Source organism: Homo sapiens, chromosome 10 (assembly GCF_000001405.40).
Source record: "Homo sapiens chromosome 10, GRCh38.p14 Primary Assembly".
NCBI lineage: Eukaryota > Metazoa > Chordata > Mammalia > Primates > Hominidae > Homo > Homo sapiens.
This window is the reverse complement of record NC_000010.11, coordinates 132,660,562-132,676,664: the sequence shown is the minus strand read 5'-3', so window position 1 is coordinate 132,676,664 and position 16,103 is coordinate 132,660,562. Positions and strand designations below refer to the sequence as shown.

At 49.3% G+C, this 16,103-nt stretch overlaps 1 protein-coding gene across 7 annotated transcripts in view, besides 1 other annotated feature; it reads right to left on the bottom strand.

Moving 5' to 3' along the window:
- The window catches only part of INPP5A (inositol polyphosphate-5-phosphatase A), a 245,694-nt gene that overhangs the window by 106,816 nt on the left and 122,775 nt on the right, over window positions 1–16,103 (bottom strand). Inside the window, exon 2 of one of the 7 annotated variants that reach the window (XM_017016204.2) lies at window positions 1,339–1,438. The exons of the other annotated variants lie outside the window; for them this stretch is intronic. Coding sequence (XP_016871693.1) covers window positions 1,339–1,438 — 100 coding nt within the window. The remainder of the gene's footprint in view (window positions 1–1,338; window positions 1,439–16,103) is intronic. 7 annotated transcript variants of the gene reach the window in all.
- Window positions 9,706–10,905: an enhancer, noted in NCBI's record as "BRD4-independent group 4 enhancer chr10:134479264-134480463 (GRCh37/hg19 assembly coordinates)". NCBI's record gives its function as "activates an origin of replication core promoter dependent on BRD2, P300/CBP, MED14 and CDK7 cofactors, and independent of BRD4, by STARR-seq in HCT116 cells {active_cell/tissue: HCT116}" and the evidence as "EXISTENCE:reporter gene assay evidence [ECO:0000049][PMID:35650434]".

Genomic DNA, 16,103 nt, shown 5'->3' with positions numbered 1-16,103 from the left:
CAGGGCTGCCATCTCATCAGGGGCGCAGGGAGCGGAGCACTGGCCGGGACAGCAGTCTGTAGGCCAGCGGCGGTTTGGGCAGCCCTGTCCCACACAGTCACCTGCTTGTGTTCAGCCCATTATCATGGACCTTGCTTTTCAAAAGGGAAATCTCTATTGACTTTTGTCTGATGTAATATATTTCACGAGCTGATGCCAGACAAAAAGGAAAAGCAAGTAAATTCCCCATGCCTCTTTCACCCGGAGTGGAGGGAGACAGGTGGAAAGGTCCTGGCCCAGAACTCACGGTGTGCCAGACAACAGCAGCCTCGGCCACAGGGAGACGTGACGCCCCAGAGCCTTTCCGCAGGTCTCATGAAAAACGAGGCTGTGTGAGGAACCTAGTTTCCCTGTGGGTGCCTACCAGTCATTTTAAACCTGTATCACCTAGAGCTCTTCCTCTCAAAATGAGATTCATTTGCAACGCAGATGCTATTTTTTGAATAATAAATATTTCACAAATTGAAAATTTCAATAATGAACAAAGAAAAATATCAGTCTTAAAATAACTAGTTTTAATTATGAAATTTGTTATATTTTTCTACGTATAAATGATTATACAAGTAAATCAATAAACTTTTATGCCAATTAAATTATGTAAGGAGTTTGCATCCTAATTAAAATGGTTCTGACTCTTATCTTTTGTCTTCTAAAAATCATTAGCTTTTCAATTACATTTCATGTATACATGTTCTGGAGAAACTGGTTATGTGCATTATGGATATAGAATAATTAAAGTAAAATGCACTTTAAGAGATGGCCAACACTGAACACAAGCTGTTTACAAAATACCTTCTGCCAGTACAAAAGCTCAGGGCATATAAAACTCTACTCAAAAGCCTTAATTGAGTTTTAAATGTCCATTATATTAGGAAATTGCCATCTACTTCTGTTTCAAATAATTTACCTTAGTTCCCGGTCCCCAGAAATGCTAAAACAGCAGTATTCCAAGGGCACACGCTCCCTCCAGACCCTGATCGGGGTCCCAGTTCTCCGCGTGGGAATATCCCCGTGGGAATGTCCGTTACCCTCACTCTCCCGGGCACGGCAAGGCCCCTGGAACGCTCACTCCACACGCACCCACCCCCATGCTCAACCGCACTTCTCTCCGTGTTTTACACTGCAGGAGGTGCCTCGGTTTACACAACCAATGCCCATGGCCATTTGCCCGCTTCCCCCAACTGCCTTGAGTCTCATTCCTTTCTCCTCTCTGACTTCATATGAGATCATTTTCTCTCCGCTTGAAGAACATCCGTTAGTACTTACTGTTTTTCATTTGAGTTAAAATGTCTATTTCACCTTCAATCTTAGGAGATGTTTTGCCGGGTAAGACCCTATGCTGACATTTCCTCCAAGGACACGGAAGATGCGGCTGCACCGTCCCCTGCGGTTACCATTTCTGCAGGAACAGGAAGGTGGCCTGTCAGTGTGACTGCGGCACACCCCTATGCTCTCTATGGTTTTCTTGATTTGTTATAATCTGACTGGGTATGAGTTTTTATTTTTTTGATGCTGCTAGGGATTCACTGGGATTCCCAACTTTCTGGACTTTGGGTATGGAGGACTGAGGGGGTCCAGAAGAGGAGTAGGCTCTGCAACAGGTCCAGGCTGCTGTGCCAGCTGCTCTGACACTTGGGCCATATGACCCAGCAGATCCAATGGTGCTTGAGGTGTCAGTGGCAGATAAGGATGCTGTTTGGAGCCTTTGGCAGGTCCCCATAGGTGAATCACAGCGGAGGCCTCTAGGATTTTGGAGTGAGGCCCTGCCATCTTCTGCAGGTAACTACTCTCCTTTTGAGAGACAGCTCTTGGCCTGTTACTGGGCTTTGGTGGAAACTGAACGTTTGTCTATGGGTCATCAAGTCACCGTGTGACCTGAACTGCATGTCATGAACTGGGTGCTTTCTGACCCATCTAGCCATGAAGTGGGTCATGCACAGCAGCATTCCATCATCAAATGGAAGTGGCATGTATGTGATTGGGCTTGATTAAGTCCTGAAGGCACAAGTAAGTTACATGACGACGTGGCTCAAATGCCCATGGTCTCCACTCCCGCCACCCTCCCTTCTCTCCCCCAGCCTGCACCGATGGCCTCATGGGAAGTTCCCTATGATCAGCTGACAGAGGAAGAGAAGACCGGGGCCTGGTTCACAGATGGTTCTGCACGGTATGCAGGCACCACCCGAAAGTGGACAGCTGTAGCATGACAGCCCCTTTCTAGGACATTCCTGAAGGACAGCGGTGAAGGGAAATCTTCCCAGTGGGCAGAACTTCAAGCAGTGCACCCGCTTGTGCACTCTGCTTGGAAGGAGAAATGGCCAGATGTGTGATTATATACTGATTCATGGGCCGTAGCCAATGGTTTGGCTGGATGGTCAGGGACTTGGAAGAAGCATGATTGGAAAATTGTGACAAAGAAATCTGGGGAAGAGGTATGTGGACAGACCTCTCTGAGTGGTCAAAATTTGTGAAGATATTTGTATCGCATGTGAGTGCTCACCAATGGGTGACCTCAGCAGAGGAGCATTTAAATAATCAAGTGGACAGGATGACCCCTTCTGTGGATACCATTCAGCCTCTTTCCCAAGCCACCCCTGTCATTGTCCAATAGGCCCATGAACAAAGTGGCCATGATGGCAGGAATGGAGGGTACCCATGGGCTCGGCAACATGAGCTTCCGCTCACCAAGGCTGATCTGGCTACGGCCACTGCTGAGTGCCCAATTTGCCAGCAGCAGAGACCAACACTGAGTCCTTGATATGGCACCATTCCTTGGAGTGGTCAGCCAGCTACCTGGTGGCAGGTTGATTATATTGGACCTCTTCCATCATGGGAAGGGCAGAGGTTTGTCCTCACTGGAATAGACACTTACTTTAGATATGGGTTTGCCTATCCTGCATGCAATGCTTCTGTGAAGACTACCATCCATGGACTCACAGAATGCCTTGTCCACCATCATGGTGTTCCACACAGCATTGCCTCTGACCAAGGCACTCACTTTATGGCTAAAGAAGTGTGGCAGGGGGCTCATGCTCATGGAATTCACTGGTCTTACCATGTTCCCCATCATCCTGAAGCAGCTGGGTTGACAGAATGGTGGAATGGCCTTTTGAAGTCACAATTACAACACCAACTAGGTGGCAATACTTTGCAGGGCTGGGACAAAGTTCTCCAGAGGGCCATGGATGCTCTGAATCAGCGTCCAATATATGATACTGTTTCTCCCATAGCCAGGATTCACGGGTCCGGGAATCAAGGGTGGAAGTGGAAGTGGCACCACTCACCATCACCCCTAATGATCCACTAGCAAAAGTTTTGCTTCCTGTTCCTGCAACATTACGTTCTGCTGGCCTAGCGTTATTAGTTCCAGAGGGAAGAATGCTGCCACCGCGAGACCAAACAGCAATCCCACTGAACTGGAAGTTAAGATTGTCACCTGGATACTCTGGGCTCCTCCTACCTTTATGTCAATAGGCTAAGAAAGGAGTTACACTGTTGGGGTGATTGATCTGGTCTATCAAGGTGAAATCAGTCTACTACTCTGCAACGAAGCTAAGGAAGAGTATACATGGAATACAGGAGATCCATTAGGGCGTCCCATAGTATTACCATGCCTTGTGATTAAGGTCAACGGGAAACTACAACAGCCCAATCCAGGCAAGACTACAAGTGACCCAGACCCCTCAGGAATGAAGGTTTGGGACATTCCACCAGGAAAAAAACCACGACCCGCTGAGGTGATGCTGAAGGCAAAGGGAATACAGAATGGACAGTAGAAGAAGGCAGTCATCAATACCAGGGGAGTGGGGTGGGGCGTGGAAGGCGTGGGGTCCAACGCACATGTAACTGGAACCTAGAGGGAATGCAGAGGGGGAGTGGAAGTCGTTTTTGAAGAGATGAGAAATCACGTTTTTCCAAACTTAGGAAAGACCTTGTATTAGTTTGTTTTCACACTGCTGATAAATACATACCCGAGACTGAGGAATTTACAAAAGAAAGAGGTTTAATATGGACTTACAGTTCCACATGGCTGGTAAGGCCTCACAATCATGGCAGAAGGCAAGGAGGAGCAAGTCACATCTTATATGGATGGAAGCAGGCAAAGAAAGAGCTTGTGCAGGGAAACTCCTCTTTGTAAAACCATCAGATCTCATGAGACCCACCCACCACCATGAGAACACCATGGGAAAGACCTGCCCCCATGATCCCCTTGCCTCCCGCAGGGTCCCTCCCATAACATGTGGGAATTCAAGATGAGATTTGGGTGGGGACGCAGCCAAACCATATTATTCCATCCCGACCCCTCCCAGATCTCCTGTCCTCACATTTCAAAACCAATCGCCAACCCAAATATTATTTCATAAAGTTGACAATACTTAAATGCTGATATGAAGTGAATAAATCTTATGTCACATGATAAAGGAAAAGGAAATAAAATGAAGATATTTTCTTAGTACAAGTGTATACATGCACAAACATGTTTTTAGCAAAAGAATGTCACAATGCTCAATAAGAGCCACTTAACAAAACGTAGTTCTCTCCCTACATCCTTGGGAAAGGAACTACTGAATTTTGACCTCTAACGAAACCTGTCCTCAAGCTTTAAAACCTACAGTTTAGCTGAATATTGGACAACAGTCACCTCTAATCAATGCTGTCCACCCTGAGCACCACCCCCACCGTCACCCTGGCTGAAGCTGGCCTTTCCTGCGCTGTCCCCTTCTGAGAGCAGAGCAGGCTGGTTGAGAGTACAGGCTCTGAGGCCAGAACCAAGTTCAAATCCCACATTGGCCTCTTCTGGTTGGTCCCTGAACCTCTCTGTGCCTCAACATCTCTATCTGTGACACGGGGAAGACAAATAACAGTACCCACTTCATAGGGCTGCTCTGATCCCTGCATGGGTGGCACATGTAAGGCACATGAAACAGTATCAGGAAGCTCATGTGCCAACGGCTATTCCAGGAGGTGTTGGTGCTGCTTCCTGTCAGCACCTTCCCATGCTGGAGGAGCCGCAGAATACGGCCCCAACACATCCTTGGCTGATGATGGGATCAACAGGCATGGCAGGAAGGGCTGTGCCAGCCAAGAAGGTTGTGTCCTTCCAAAGCAAGGAGGTAGATACCGAAGCAGAAAGGGTGGAGTCAGAAGCAGGGAGGGCGGAGTCCAGAGCAGGGAGGGCCGAGTCCGAAGCAGGGAGGGCGGAGTCCGAAGCAGGGAGGGCGGAGTCCAGAGCAGGGAGGGCGGAGTCCGAAGCAGGGAGGGCGGAGTCCGAAGCAGGGAGGGCGGAGTCCGAAGCAGGGAGGGCACAAGCCTCGCCGCAGCCCACGTTTGAACTCTCCACTCCTAAGTCATCTGTGCCTCCCTTGGGCCCAGGGGAGGCCACGGCTCCAGGGGCCCCAGTTGCCCACTGGCCACCAGTGTGACCCACTGTCCCAATCAGAAGGGAGAGACAGGGACACTCCTGACAGATGGAGGCGTGCCCACATGCCCATGCCTCACTCCAGAAGGAGTGGGCCACCTGCTGCTTCCAACAATATGAAAGAGAGACCTTCTCTTTTCTTTACTGAGGCCAAACCATGAGCAACCCTTACGGGAAAAGACATCCAAAGAAAGCTATCTCCCACTAATGGCCCTGTTATAAATTAGACCTGACTGACAAAGACCAAGGAAAAGTGACGCCCGTCAAGCCGTCACCGCCGTTTGCAGTTTCTCCACTTTGGCACCGCTGTCCTGACCACATGAATATCCATCATTTTCCTTAAAAAAAAAAAAAAAAAAAAAAGAAAGAAAGACACTGCCAAGAAATCAGTTTCTATAGGACAAGGAGCTGGGGAGATACGGGGTCAAGGGAGGCTTCTTCCCTAAGAGGGAAATGCCTGCCTGTTTGCTCACAGGGGTGACCCGGCACAAAGGGAGACTGGGTGTTCTGGGGAGAAGACAGGCTCCCCACTGGGACCTCCCAGAAGGCCACAGGGATGCGCGCAGGCAGGGTGAAGACTTAGCTGTGCTGTGGGCAGCAGAGGGGCAGGGGACAGGTGTGCCCCAACCACTCTCCCCCCAGCAAGGAGGGGCTGACAGTGTCCTCCTGCTTCTGGGCCAGGGCTGTGCTGAGAAGCAAGCCAGCCAGGGGCTGGGGACTACAGCAGAGGAGAGGCTGAAGATGGGGGCTGTGGGGTGGTGTCAGGGGGTGTGGGGGTCAGGTGCGGGTTCTGGGAGTGCGCACTCAGAGGATGTAGGGTCAGGGGGTGTGAGGTCGGGGGGGTGGGGTCAGGTGCAGGTTCTGGGAGTGCACAGAGGATGTAGGGTCTGGGGTGTGGGGTCAGGTGTGGGTTCTGGGAGTATGCAGAGGATGTGGGGTCAGGGGTGTGGGGTCAGGGGGTGTGGGGTCAGGGGGTGTAGGGTCAGGGGGTGTGGGGTCGGGGGGGTGGGGTCAGGGGGTGTGGGGTCAGGTGCAGGTTCTGGGAGTGCGCAGTCAGAGGGTGTAGGGTCTTGGGGGTGGAGGCTGAGGGTGTGGGTTTCAGGACGTGGGGTTTAGGGATTGGAAGCTGAGGACATGGGGGCTGAGAACGTGTGCAGTGAGGGCATGGGGGCTGGGGGTGTGGGGTCAGTGGCTGCAGAGGGATTTTCTGCAAAGAGGTTGGTGACCCTGGGGACCCAAGAGAAGATAAGAGTTTGGACAAAAGAAAGACCTGAGAGGGCTAGAAGGGCTGTGCAGGGCTGCACCCTGAGGACAGAGAGGGAGCAGTCACCAGCGGGTCCTGGCTCCCTGGGGGCTCAGCAAGGCCACAGTGGGGACAGGGACACGGGAACAATGCCCTTCCAGAAACCCAGGTCCACGCTCACGCCAAAATCCCAATGGCATCTACCCACATCTCACTTGGAGCTGCACATCTAGAGTCCAGCACGAACCGCGCCCGCCCTCTCTGCCCATGGGGCACGCACAGGCAGGCCCCACATCCTCCAAGCTTGACCAAGTCACTGTCAGACTAAGGACACATGAATGGTGTCTGCAAGCACGTAAGAGAAGCAGAACCACTTTCAAGGACGCAGCTAAGCCAGGCTGAAATGTCACCGACGGTCCCCCAGGAGAACACGGGGCCTCCTCGAGCAGCTGTTTCTGCCCTGTCACTTGCCACTCCTCCACCACACCCCCAGCTCCCTCTCGTTCTGTGGTCCCGTGAGGACGTGCTACATAGAAAGCCTTGAGGTTAAGAATAGGAGCCTGCATTGTGCCCCTCAGAGTAGGCCACAGTGGGCACCAGGGAACCCGCCTCACAGGGAAGGCCTGGCCCGGCAACACCTGGCGCTCACGGGGCTACTTCCCAGCTTCACACAAGCTGGTGCTACTCACCGGCTGTTTGTTTGTTTATTTTGAGATGGAGTCTCACTCTGTCTCCAAGGCTGGAGTGCGGTGGCACGATGTCTGCTCACTGCAAGCTCCGCCTCCTGGGTTCACGCCATTCTCCTGCCTCAGCCTCCCGAGTAGCTGGGACTACAGGCGCCCACCACCACGCCTGGCTAATTTTTTGTATTTTTAGTAGAGACGGGGTTTCACCATGTTGGCAGAATGGTCTCTATCTCCTGACCTCGTGACCCACCCACCTCGGCCTCCCAAAATGCTGGGATTACAGGAGTGAGCCACCATGCCCGGCCTCACCGGCTGTTTCTTAACCTTCCTGTGTCTCCGGCACCCCAAAGATAAAGTGGGGAAATGATCCCCCAGAACAAAGCCTCACAAGCAGTACACGCTCAATAAACGCCAGCAGTGGTGGTCGTGCGATGGAGCTCGGCAGTTTTTAAAGAAAGCCACAGAAATGGACCAAACCCAGAGCACGGTCAACAGGGGCTGAAGCCCCCTGAGCTATTCAGAGAGGGGTGAAGTGGGCCGCAAGCTTTTAAATCCTACGGAAGAGAATAAAAACATCAGGAGGAATGATAAGCCCTTCTAATGCTCCCTGTGCAAATTCATGTTTAATTTGAGGAGAAATATCAACATTTTTTCATTTCCCTGATCATGCTTTAATTAAATCTCTAGCCCACTGTTTAAAATAAAGCCATTATGGATAGTGATCAAGAATTTCATCACTCCCTACTGAACTATAAAATCAATCACTTAACTTTTTATTATATAACCTCTGAAAAGTGAAACAGTTTGAGGTTACAGGATTTGAAGTGCTCTGATTTTCGCCAAAAGAAGTCCGTCAAATGTGCTTCTGAGAAACTCATGTTCTGCTTCATTTCCATATTTTTTCCATGGCAGCATCAATAAGTTACAGGGCGTCACTTTGCCCCCTAACCACCAACAGAAAGCCTCAACTGAAAGGAGGCCGAGGCCATCAGCCCATGGCAGGAACGTGAGGCTCTCGTGTCATTTCACCTAAGAAAGGATCAGTGACACCTGAGCCTGGGATCTGCCACTGGAATTTTCAAAAGTCAAGTGTGGGGCTGGGCTGCAGGAGCCCATTAGTCCCTCACCACCACACCAACCCTGCAAGGCCGGCAGACTCCAGTACACTCAAAAAACTGAATAACTTTGTTTAATGTTGCCTAGAAATAAGGAAAAATAACAAATACTTGTAAAAGTTACACTTGAAAGATCTCCACTCCAACTTATGTTCAATGTACTTAGCAAAAAGGTCAAAGCTCCGGAATTTGCTGGATAAATAAATGTTGGTGAGGCGGATGAATCACTGGAGAATTGGTGCATGGCGGCGAATGAATAACCTGCAAATGCCTCCCAAACCCCATTATTTCCCCTTTTCCAAGAGCCCAAGATTCATGTCCCCGCATGCCGCCAGTTCATTACCGAGAAATATCATCCCTCTTCCGGCTCGCGCCGGGCAGCGCACACGGCCCCCTGAGGACCCTTTAATGTTTAATTCCCCATCATCTGCTCCACTGAACAGCTTAATCTCTGCTTGTATGATCAATACTATATCAGTGTAAATTAAAATGACAATTTTAAAGTAATTAAGCCTGTTAATGCTCGATTCAAATGTCATTATTTGCACAAGGGATTGAGGAGAAATTACATCGTGTCCGGGGTGACAGGAAGCTGTCTGGGCCTCTTCAGCCCCGCTGTGCAGGGCCACTGGAGGCTTCAGCAAAGCAGATTAACTTCTGCCTCGCCCTGCCAGCATGCCTATCCAATTTCTAAAGAGGATAACGCAATTTGATAAATTTAATTCCAGCTACAAACTCAATTATTGTGATAATAGATGAAAACTGGGAGGAGCCTCTGCACAAGGCCCACAGTTTTAAAAACACACTTAACTCCAGAACGAGCTTCAACAGTAATGGCTTGATTTGATTTGTTCTCTCTCTTTTGAAGCCCCTTTAAATAATTATGATGGTTGGAAGAACAGCCGACATTTATTAAACAGCCGAGCTCCAACCAAAAGGGGCTGCGGCTTAGACAATCCAGGTCATACTGGAAACGTCTGCTGTCCTGAGCTTGTACAGCAGCATTTATTAGACAAGCACATCATTACATTATTGGATCTCATAAATAGATATATAAAACTCAGCCAGCCTCAGATGAAACCTCCCTCTTGCTCAACACTGGCGGGTCTGCCCCAGCTTGGAAAGCGGCATCCAGCAGGACCCTGCCATTTTTTTGTCCCAGGTGGCAGAGGGGGTTGGGGGTGAGAGGAATTAATGAAAATAACTTTTTTAAAAACCACCTTTACCCTCCTATGATTCCCAGCACACTCAGTACACATTATGACTCAAGTTATCTCCAACGAGCTCTCAATGCACAGATATCTTTCTCTACCCGAGTCCACTTACGGATGAGGTGGGTGGGTAGCCTGCCGAGAAGGTCTGCACAGCACACGCTGGGGGCCGCTTTAAGGGGACAGCTGCAATTGCTGGACTTCATCCATTAGGTCAGCAATAAAAATTGACAACCAAACATTAATTTCAAGATGAAGAGCACAGTGTAACAATTTCCGTTTGAAAGATGTTTCGGCTCGGTGTGGGCCATCCTTCAGGGTTTTCCCAGACAATTCCAGATGCTGCTGCACTCCAGAAGGAAAGAGAGCCCCACTGCAAAGTCGGCAGCCTCGGGATGGTGCGCCACGGGGCCAGCGGTTTTGGGTGATCCGACAGGGGTTTTTTTGTGGCTGTTTTCAAACCCAGTGATGTATACTTTAATACTTTAACTGTCTAAATTCCACCTTTTCCATACAGGAGGGAGCTGTACAGCTGGTGTCTCTTCACTGCATGCTTGAAAGGCCCTTATCCGTTACCTCCCTACTGCCTACGATGACTTCACAGTTCCTCAAGTTTCCCCCAGCCAGCAGAAATCAGATTTAAAACCAGTGAAAACATGGAATAATGTGTTCAAATGGCTCTCCCTTTCTGTCGGTTTAAACATAAATATCCCTGACTATGAATTACTCCCCCAAGTTCCTAGATGAATCATAGTGAGGAAGTAATGATGCATTATAACAGTCACGACATGGGAGGAAGCGCTGAGTAAAGGCCAGGCACACAGTGACTCAGTTTTAAGGCAAACCTGGTAAAGGACTAATGTGGTTATATCATTCTTCTCTTTTTTTTTTTTTTTTGAGACAGGATCTTGCTCTGTTGCCCAGGCTGCAGTGCAGTGGTGTGATCTTGGCTCACTGCTACCTCCACCTCCCAGGCTCACACGATCCTCCAGCCTCAGCCTCCCAAGTAGCTGCGACTACAGGTGCACGCCATTGCAGCTGGCTAATTTTTGTATTTTCAGTAGAGATGGGGTTTCCCCATGTTGGCCAGGCTGGTCTTGAACTCCTAAGCTCAAGCAATTCACCTGCCTCAGCCTCCCAGAGTGCTGGGATTACTCCTAAGCTCAAGCAATTCACCTGCCTCAGCCTCCCAGAGTGCTGGGATTACTCCTAAGCTCAAGCAATTCATCTGCCTCAGCCTCCCAGAGTGCTGGGATTACTCCTAAACTCAAGCAATTCACCTGCCTCAGCCTCCCAGAGTGCTGGGATTACTCCTAAGCTCAAGCAATTCACCTGCCTCAGCCTCCCAGAGTGCTGGGATTACTCCTAAGCTCAAGCAATTCACCTGCCTCAGCCTCCCAGAGTGCTGGGATTACTCCTAAGCTCAAGCAATTCACCTGCCTCAGCCTCCCAGAGTGCTGGGATTACAGGTGTGAAGCACTACACCCAGCCCATTCTTCCCTTTTAACCAAGGAAGAAATTACACAATGAAACAAATACCCCGAATCTTAATATCACTTTTCCTTTGTCATAATTAACAATTAGCGACACAGAATCGAGGGGAAAAACACAGGATCCGTTTACTCCTAGGAAGGGCGTTTCTGTGAATCTAAGAGGGGGCTTTCCTGTGTTCTCAAGGCCACGGGTCAGCCAGTGGCCGCTGCGGGGTGCGCTGTCTGGGAGACACTCTCGGGATGGAAGTGAAGTGCTCCGTCTGTCCCCCTTCTTTGGAAACACAGGTGTGTCTGCAAAGGCGAGGGAAGGCCTCAGGTGGGCATGATCTCTGAAGCTCCAGCTTCGTTTCCTTCAGTCTGGGGGTGCCCTCATGCACAACAGGGCTTGGCCTTGAGGGACCTGCCCTGCACAGGCGGGGCGCTGCCAGGCCACGACTTCAGGAAAGTTCTGGGCAGGCAGGGGCAGCCCCTGACTGCTCAACGCCTCAGTTGCAACGGGAAAACCTGAGCCACCCCAACAAGCCTACATCGGGGACTCCGATACTTAAGACAGCAGGATGCATCTCTACGTGCACAGGTGGGATGCACTAAACGCTGCCCTGACAGGGATGTGTGGCCAGGATGGGAGCCACTTTCTCCCAGGAAAACATCGTGCTTGTCACCTTCCTTGGGACAGAAGGATGGGTGGTTTTCAAAGAGCACATAGCAGTTCTAACAGGTGCCAAGCCAAATGGCAAGGTGCACTCATGAAAATCACCCACACTTCTGTGCTCAGCTCTGGGCTGCTGCTGATGGGGAGCTGTGGGCCCCAGCAGACGTGGCTGTGAGAGAGCGCACTCAGAGGCCCAGCCACCCCCACACAGCGGTGTGCCACACCCCAACTCATCACACAAACGCACAGGGCAACAGGCGAGGTCTGTGTAGACACCCATCTGCTCAGGAACACACTGAAAAACACGATGTTCCCTTTGGGACATCAGGTAGTGAAGCCTCAAGAGCAGGTCAGGTGCCCTCCAGGCACACAGCAGGGTCCTGGGCAGGCTGTGACATAAAAGCTCACATTCATTCTGTGGATTAAGCCTAGAAATGTACACACGGCTCACAGCATCTGAAGCCAAACCTGGACGGGCTTTGGAGAAAATATTTGTTCATTCAGTTTCCTTCGGTCTCCTTCAAAATCATAAAAACCCATCTCCAGGGAGGCTGTGGTTGGGTGAGCACAGCTGAGGGACCCGCAAGAATTTGCACAGGAAAGAAAGCCAGGCAGAGCAAGGAGCAGCTCACGGGGCTCCGGAAGTGAAACATCACCTGAGGCCAAATGAACAGAACAACAAGCTAAACTGTGAATCAACCATGGCTATTTCTTTATGTTCACTGCTTCAGTGATTTTCTGTCAAAAAATGCTAACAAGCATGAAAGTCCTTAAGAGCTTTACAATTTTTCAGTTCGTTCACCAATACCTTTCGCGCGGCGTGTTTGTTTCCTGGGCTGCGTGTGACACGGCACTCGATCACGCCTGTCGGCCGCCTGATGGATCGGCTGCCCACGAGGCACCTTGGCCCAGCCTTTGCCACAGAGCCTGTTACGGATTTCCCACCCGGCGACAGGGGGAGAGGAATGATGTGAGCGCGGCCCTGCCCAGCTCACGGCTCAGAAGAGGAGCGAGATGACTTCACCCCTAGGGGCGAATCTGCTCACAGAGCACCAGGGACCCTCCCCAAAAGGCAAGGAAAGCGCAATGACCCAAAGTCATGCAGACGGCTGCCACAGGCACAGACTCCACTGCAAACCAACCCCAGCCAGAAGCTAGAAGTGGCACCTGCCGGCTCAGAGTGCAGAGAAAGTACAGGTGAACGTCGACCAAAATCACTCATTGAGTGGGAATAATGTTACATTCAAAATCAACAAAGCCTTACTTAACCTTAAAAATGTCTTTTTGGCAGGGCACAGTGGTTCGCACCTGTAATCCCAGCACTTTGAGAGGCCAAGGCAAGAGGATCACTTGAGGCCAGGAGTTGGAGACCTGACTGGGCAACACGGTGACACCCAGTCTCTATAAACAGTTTTTTTTTAGCCAGGCGTGGTGATGCACACCTGTATCCTCAGCTACTTGGGAGGCTGAGGCCACAGGATCACTTGAGCTCAGGAGTTCAAGGCTGCAGTAAGCCACGATTGCACTACTGCACTCCAGCCTGGGCAACAGAGTGACATCCTGTGTCAAAATAAAATAAGATTTAACGAGAAGAAAGTCTTTTCAATTTTATATAACATACGCATATGTGTATATAAAATGGAAAATTACTCACACTCTGCCGTTATGTCCTGCGGCGTGCCGAGTTGCCTGAGTTGTGAGACACACAGTGGTGTGCACAGTCCGTTCGAGGGGCCAGCTGCTGATGGAAGTACTTCCCTTTTCCATTAAATCTGCAGTTTGACCCCTCACAAGCCATCCACCACAAGACTAGATTTTCCTTCTAGAGTGCTAAGGTACGTGTAAGTGGCACTGACAGAATTGCACCCATGTGACGTGTAACTGGATGAGTCCTGACACATCCACACGTGAAACCATCACCACAATTAGGAGACTAACATGCCCGTCGCTCCAGAAGGTTCCCTGGGTCCCTTCGCCCCTTGACACAATTTACACTTGGCTCTGGATTGTGTTTGCTAAACTACAGCATGAAAGGGTGGGAGCAGAGAGCGGCCAGGCTGGAGTGCGGGTGGGGTGGGCAGTGTGGAAGGGACAGCTGCCTTCCGTCCAGCATCCTCACCTCGGCCAAGGTGCGGGGATCTACCGTGCTCCCCTCCTGGGCTTGACCTGGCTTCTCCTTAGTGCTCACTGGAATCCCTCCAGCCCCCACCACAACCCCTTCCCCGGGAAACCACTATCTGTGTTCTGTCATTACAGACTTGTTTGCATTTTTAAGAATATGATATACATGAAATCATACAGAATGCATTTTTGGTTTGGTCTGGATTCTTTTGCCCACCATAATTACTGCGACAGCTGACACACCACGGTGTACACAGACTGTCCCCTCCTGTTCCCACTCACCTGCTGTGGCTATCTGGGCTGTTGACAGGTTTTGGCTATTCTGAATAAAGCTGCTATGAACATTCAGTCTTAGTGTGGAATGTGCTTTCATTTCTCTTAAGTAAATACTGAAGAGGGAAACGGCTGGGTGATACGGTGTGTGTATTTTCAACGTTTTTTTTAAGACCTCCATGTTTTCGCATGTTTTACATTTCCAGCACTAACACGACGGCTGCAGTGCTACCACCGCCTCCCCAGCGCTTGCCACGGTCGTCTTCATAGGTCCAACTGACTGGTTTCCTCTTATAGTGGTTTCTGCTTTTGGTGTCATATTTAAAGAAAGAAGTCCTGTGTGATCTTGTGGAAGCTGCATGGTTCTAGCTCTTACGCTAGGTCTATGATCCAGTTCAAGCTAAATTTTCATGTGGTTTCAAGTAACAATTGAAGTGAGTTTTTTGCAAACGGCCCTCTAATTGCTACAGCACCCTTTGTGGAAAAGATCATTCACTCACTGCTGAAGTCCACTGATACCTCTGACAAAGATCAATAGTGGGCCACTTTCTAGACTCTCCATAATGTTCTGTGATCTGTTTATCTGGTTTTATGCCAATACTATACTGATTTAATTATTGAGATTCAAAGAAGTCTTAATCAGGTAGTATAAGGACTCCATCTTTATTCATGTTCAAAGTTGTTTTGGCCCATTCTAATTCCTTTACATTTACATATACATTTTAGAACCAGCTTAATTTCTACCAAAAAAAAAAGTCTGCTCAGATTTTGATTAGTAATGCACTGAATCTTTACATCAATTTGGGGAGAAATGACATCTTAACAAGATTGAGTCTTCTGATCCATGAACATAGTATATCTCTCCATTTATTTAGATCTTATTTAATTTCTCTGAGCAATATATCATAGTTCTCAGTATACAGGTCTTACACATCTTGACCTAATTTATTCCTAAATATTTCATATTTTTGATGCTATTATAAATGGTAATGTTATTTACATTTCAATTTCCAACGGCATCATTTACAAGTTGACAGCTTACAAGCCACTAACTACATAAAGAGATTCTGAAGACATAATCAAAATATTTTTATGTTAGTAAGACCCTTCTGACTATTCATGAAAGCACTTCATTTTGCCTTTTTCTTCCTGAAGGAGGTATTGTCCTCATCACTTTCAATGTAGGCAATTCAGTAAAGTTGATCTCAAGCATCAAACAATTTACACATGGTGCTGGATTGTGTTTTTGAAACCATATCACGAAGAGGTGGGAGCATGCAGCTGGGGACACAGAGAGACCTGGCTGGATTGTGGGTGGGGGCATTGTGCAAGGGAGAGATGCAGGCCTCATTCCAGGACTGGCTATGCTCCATCCGGCATCCTCATCTTGGCCAAGGTGCAGGGATCTGGTTTTCCTCCCTCCTGGGTTTGACCCTACTTCTCTTTAGTGCTCAGTATGGGACACTGCCCTAGTTTTAGGCTTAAAGGAATCAGAGTCAAAAAAATAAATGTGCACCAATATGGATCACCACTTCTGGTCCTCTCTGTGCATTTACTTCAATAAGAATTTAAAAGGTAGATATCAGAGGACTCTACGTTTGAAACAACACACTTGTCCCTTCTCCATCTTCCCCCAGTTCTGACTGCCTCACCTCTCTCCCTGAACTCTGTAATGGTCCCCACTGACTACCTAATCACATTCAAATTTCTTTACCTGATACTCAAAGGACAGTCAAGATTCTAGGCTCTTCTCTCACCGTGAATGGCATCCAGACAGCCTCTGCTCAGACACCAGAGCCTCTGCTCAGACACCAGAGCCACTCCCACCTGTTGCTGACACAGGTGCCTCAC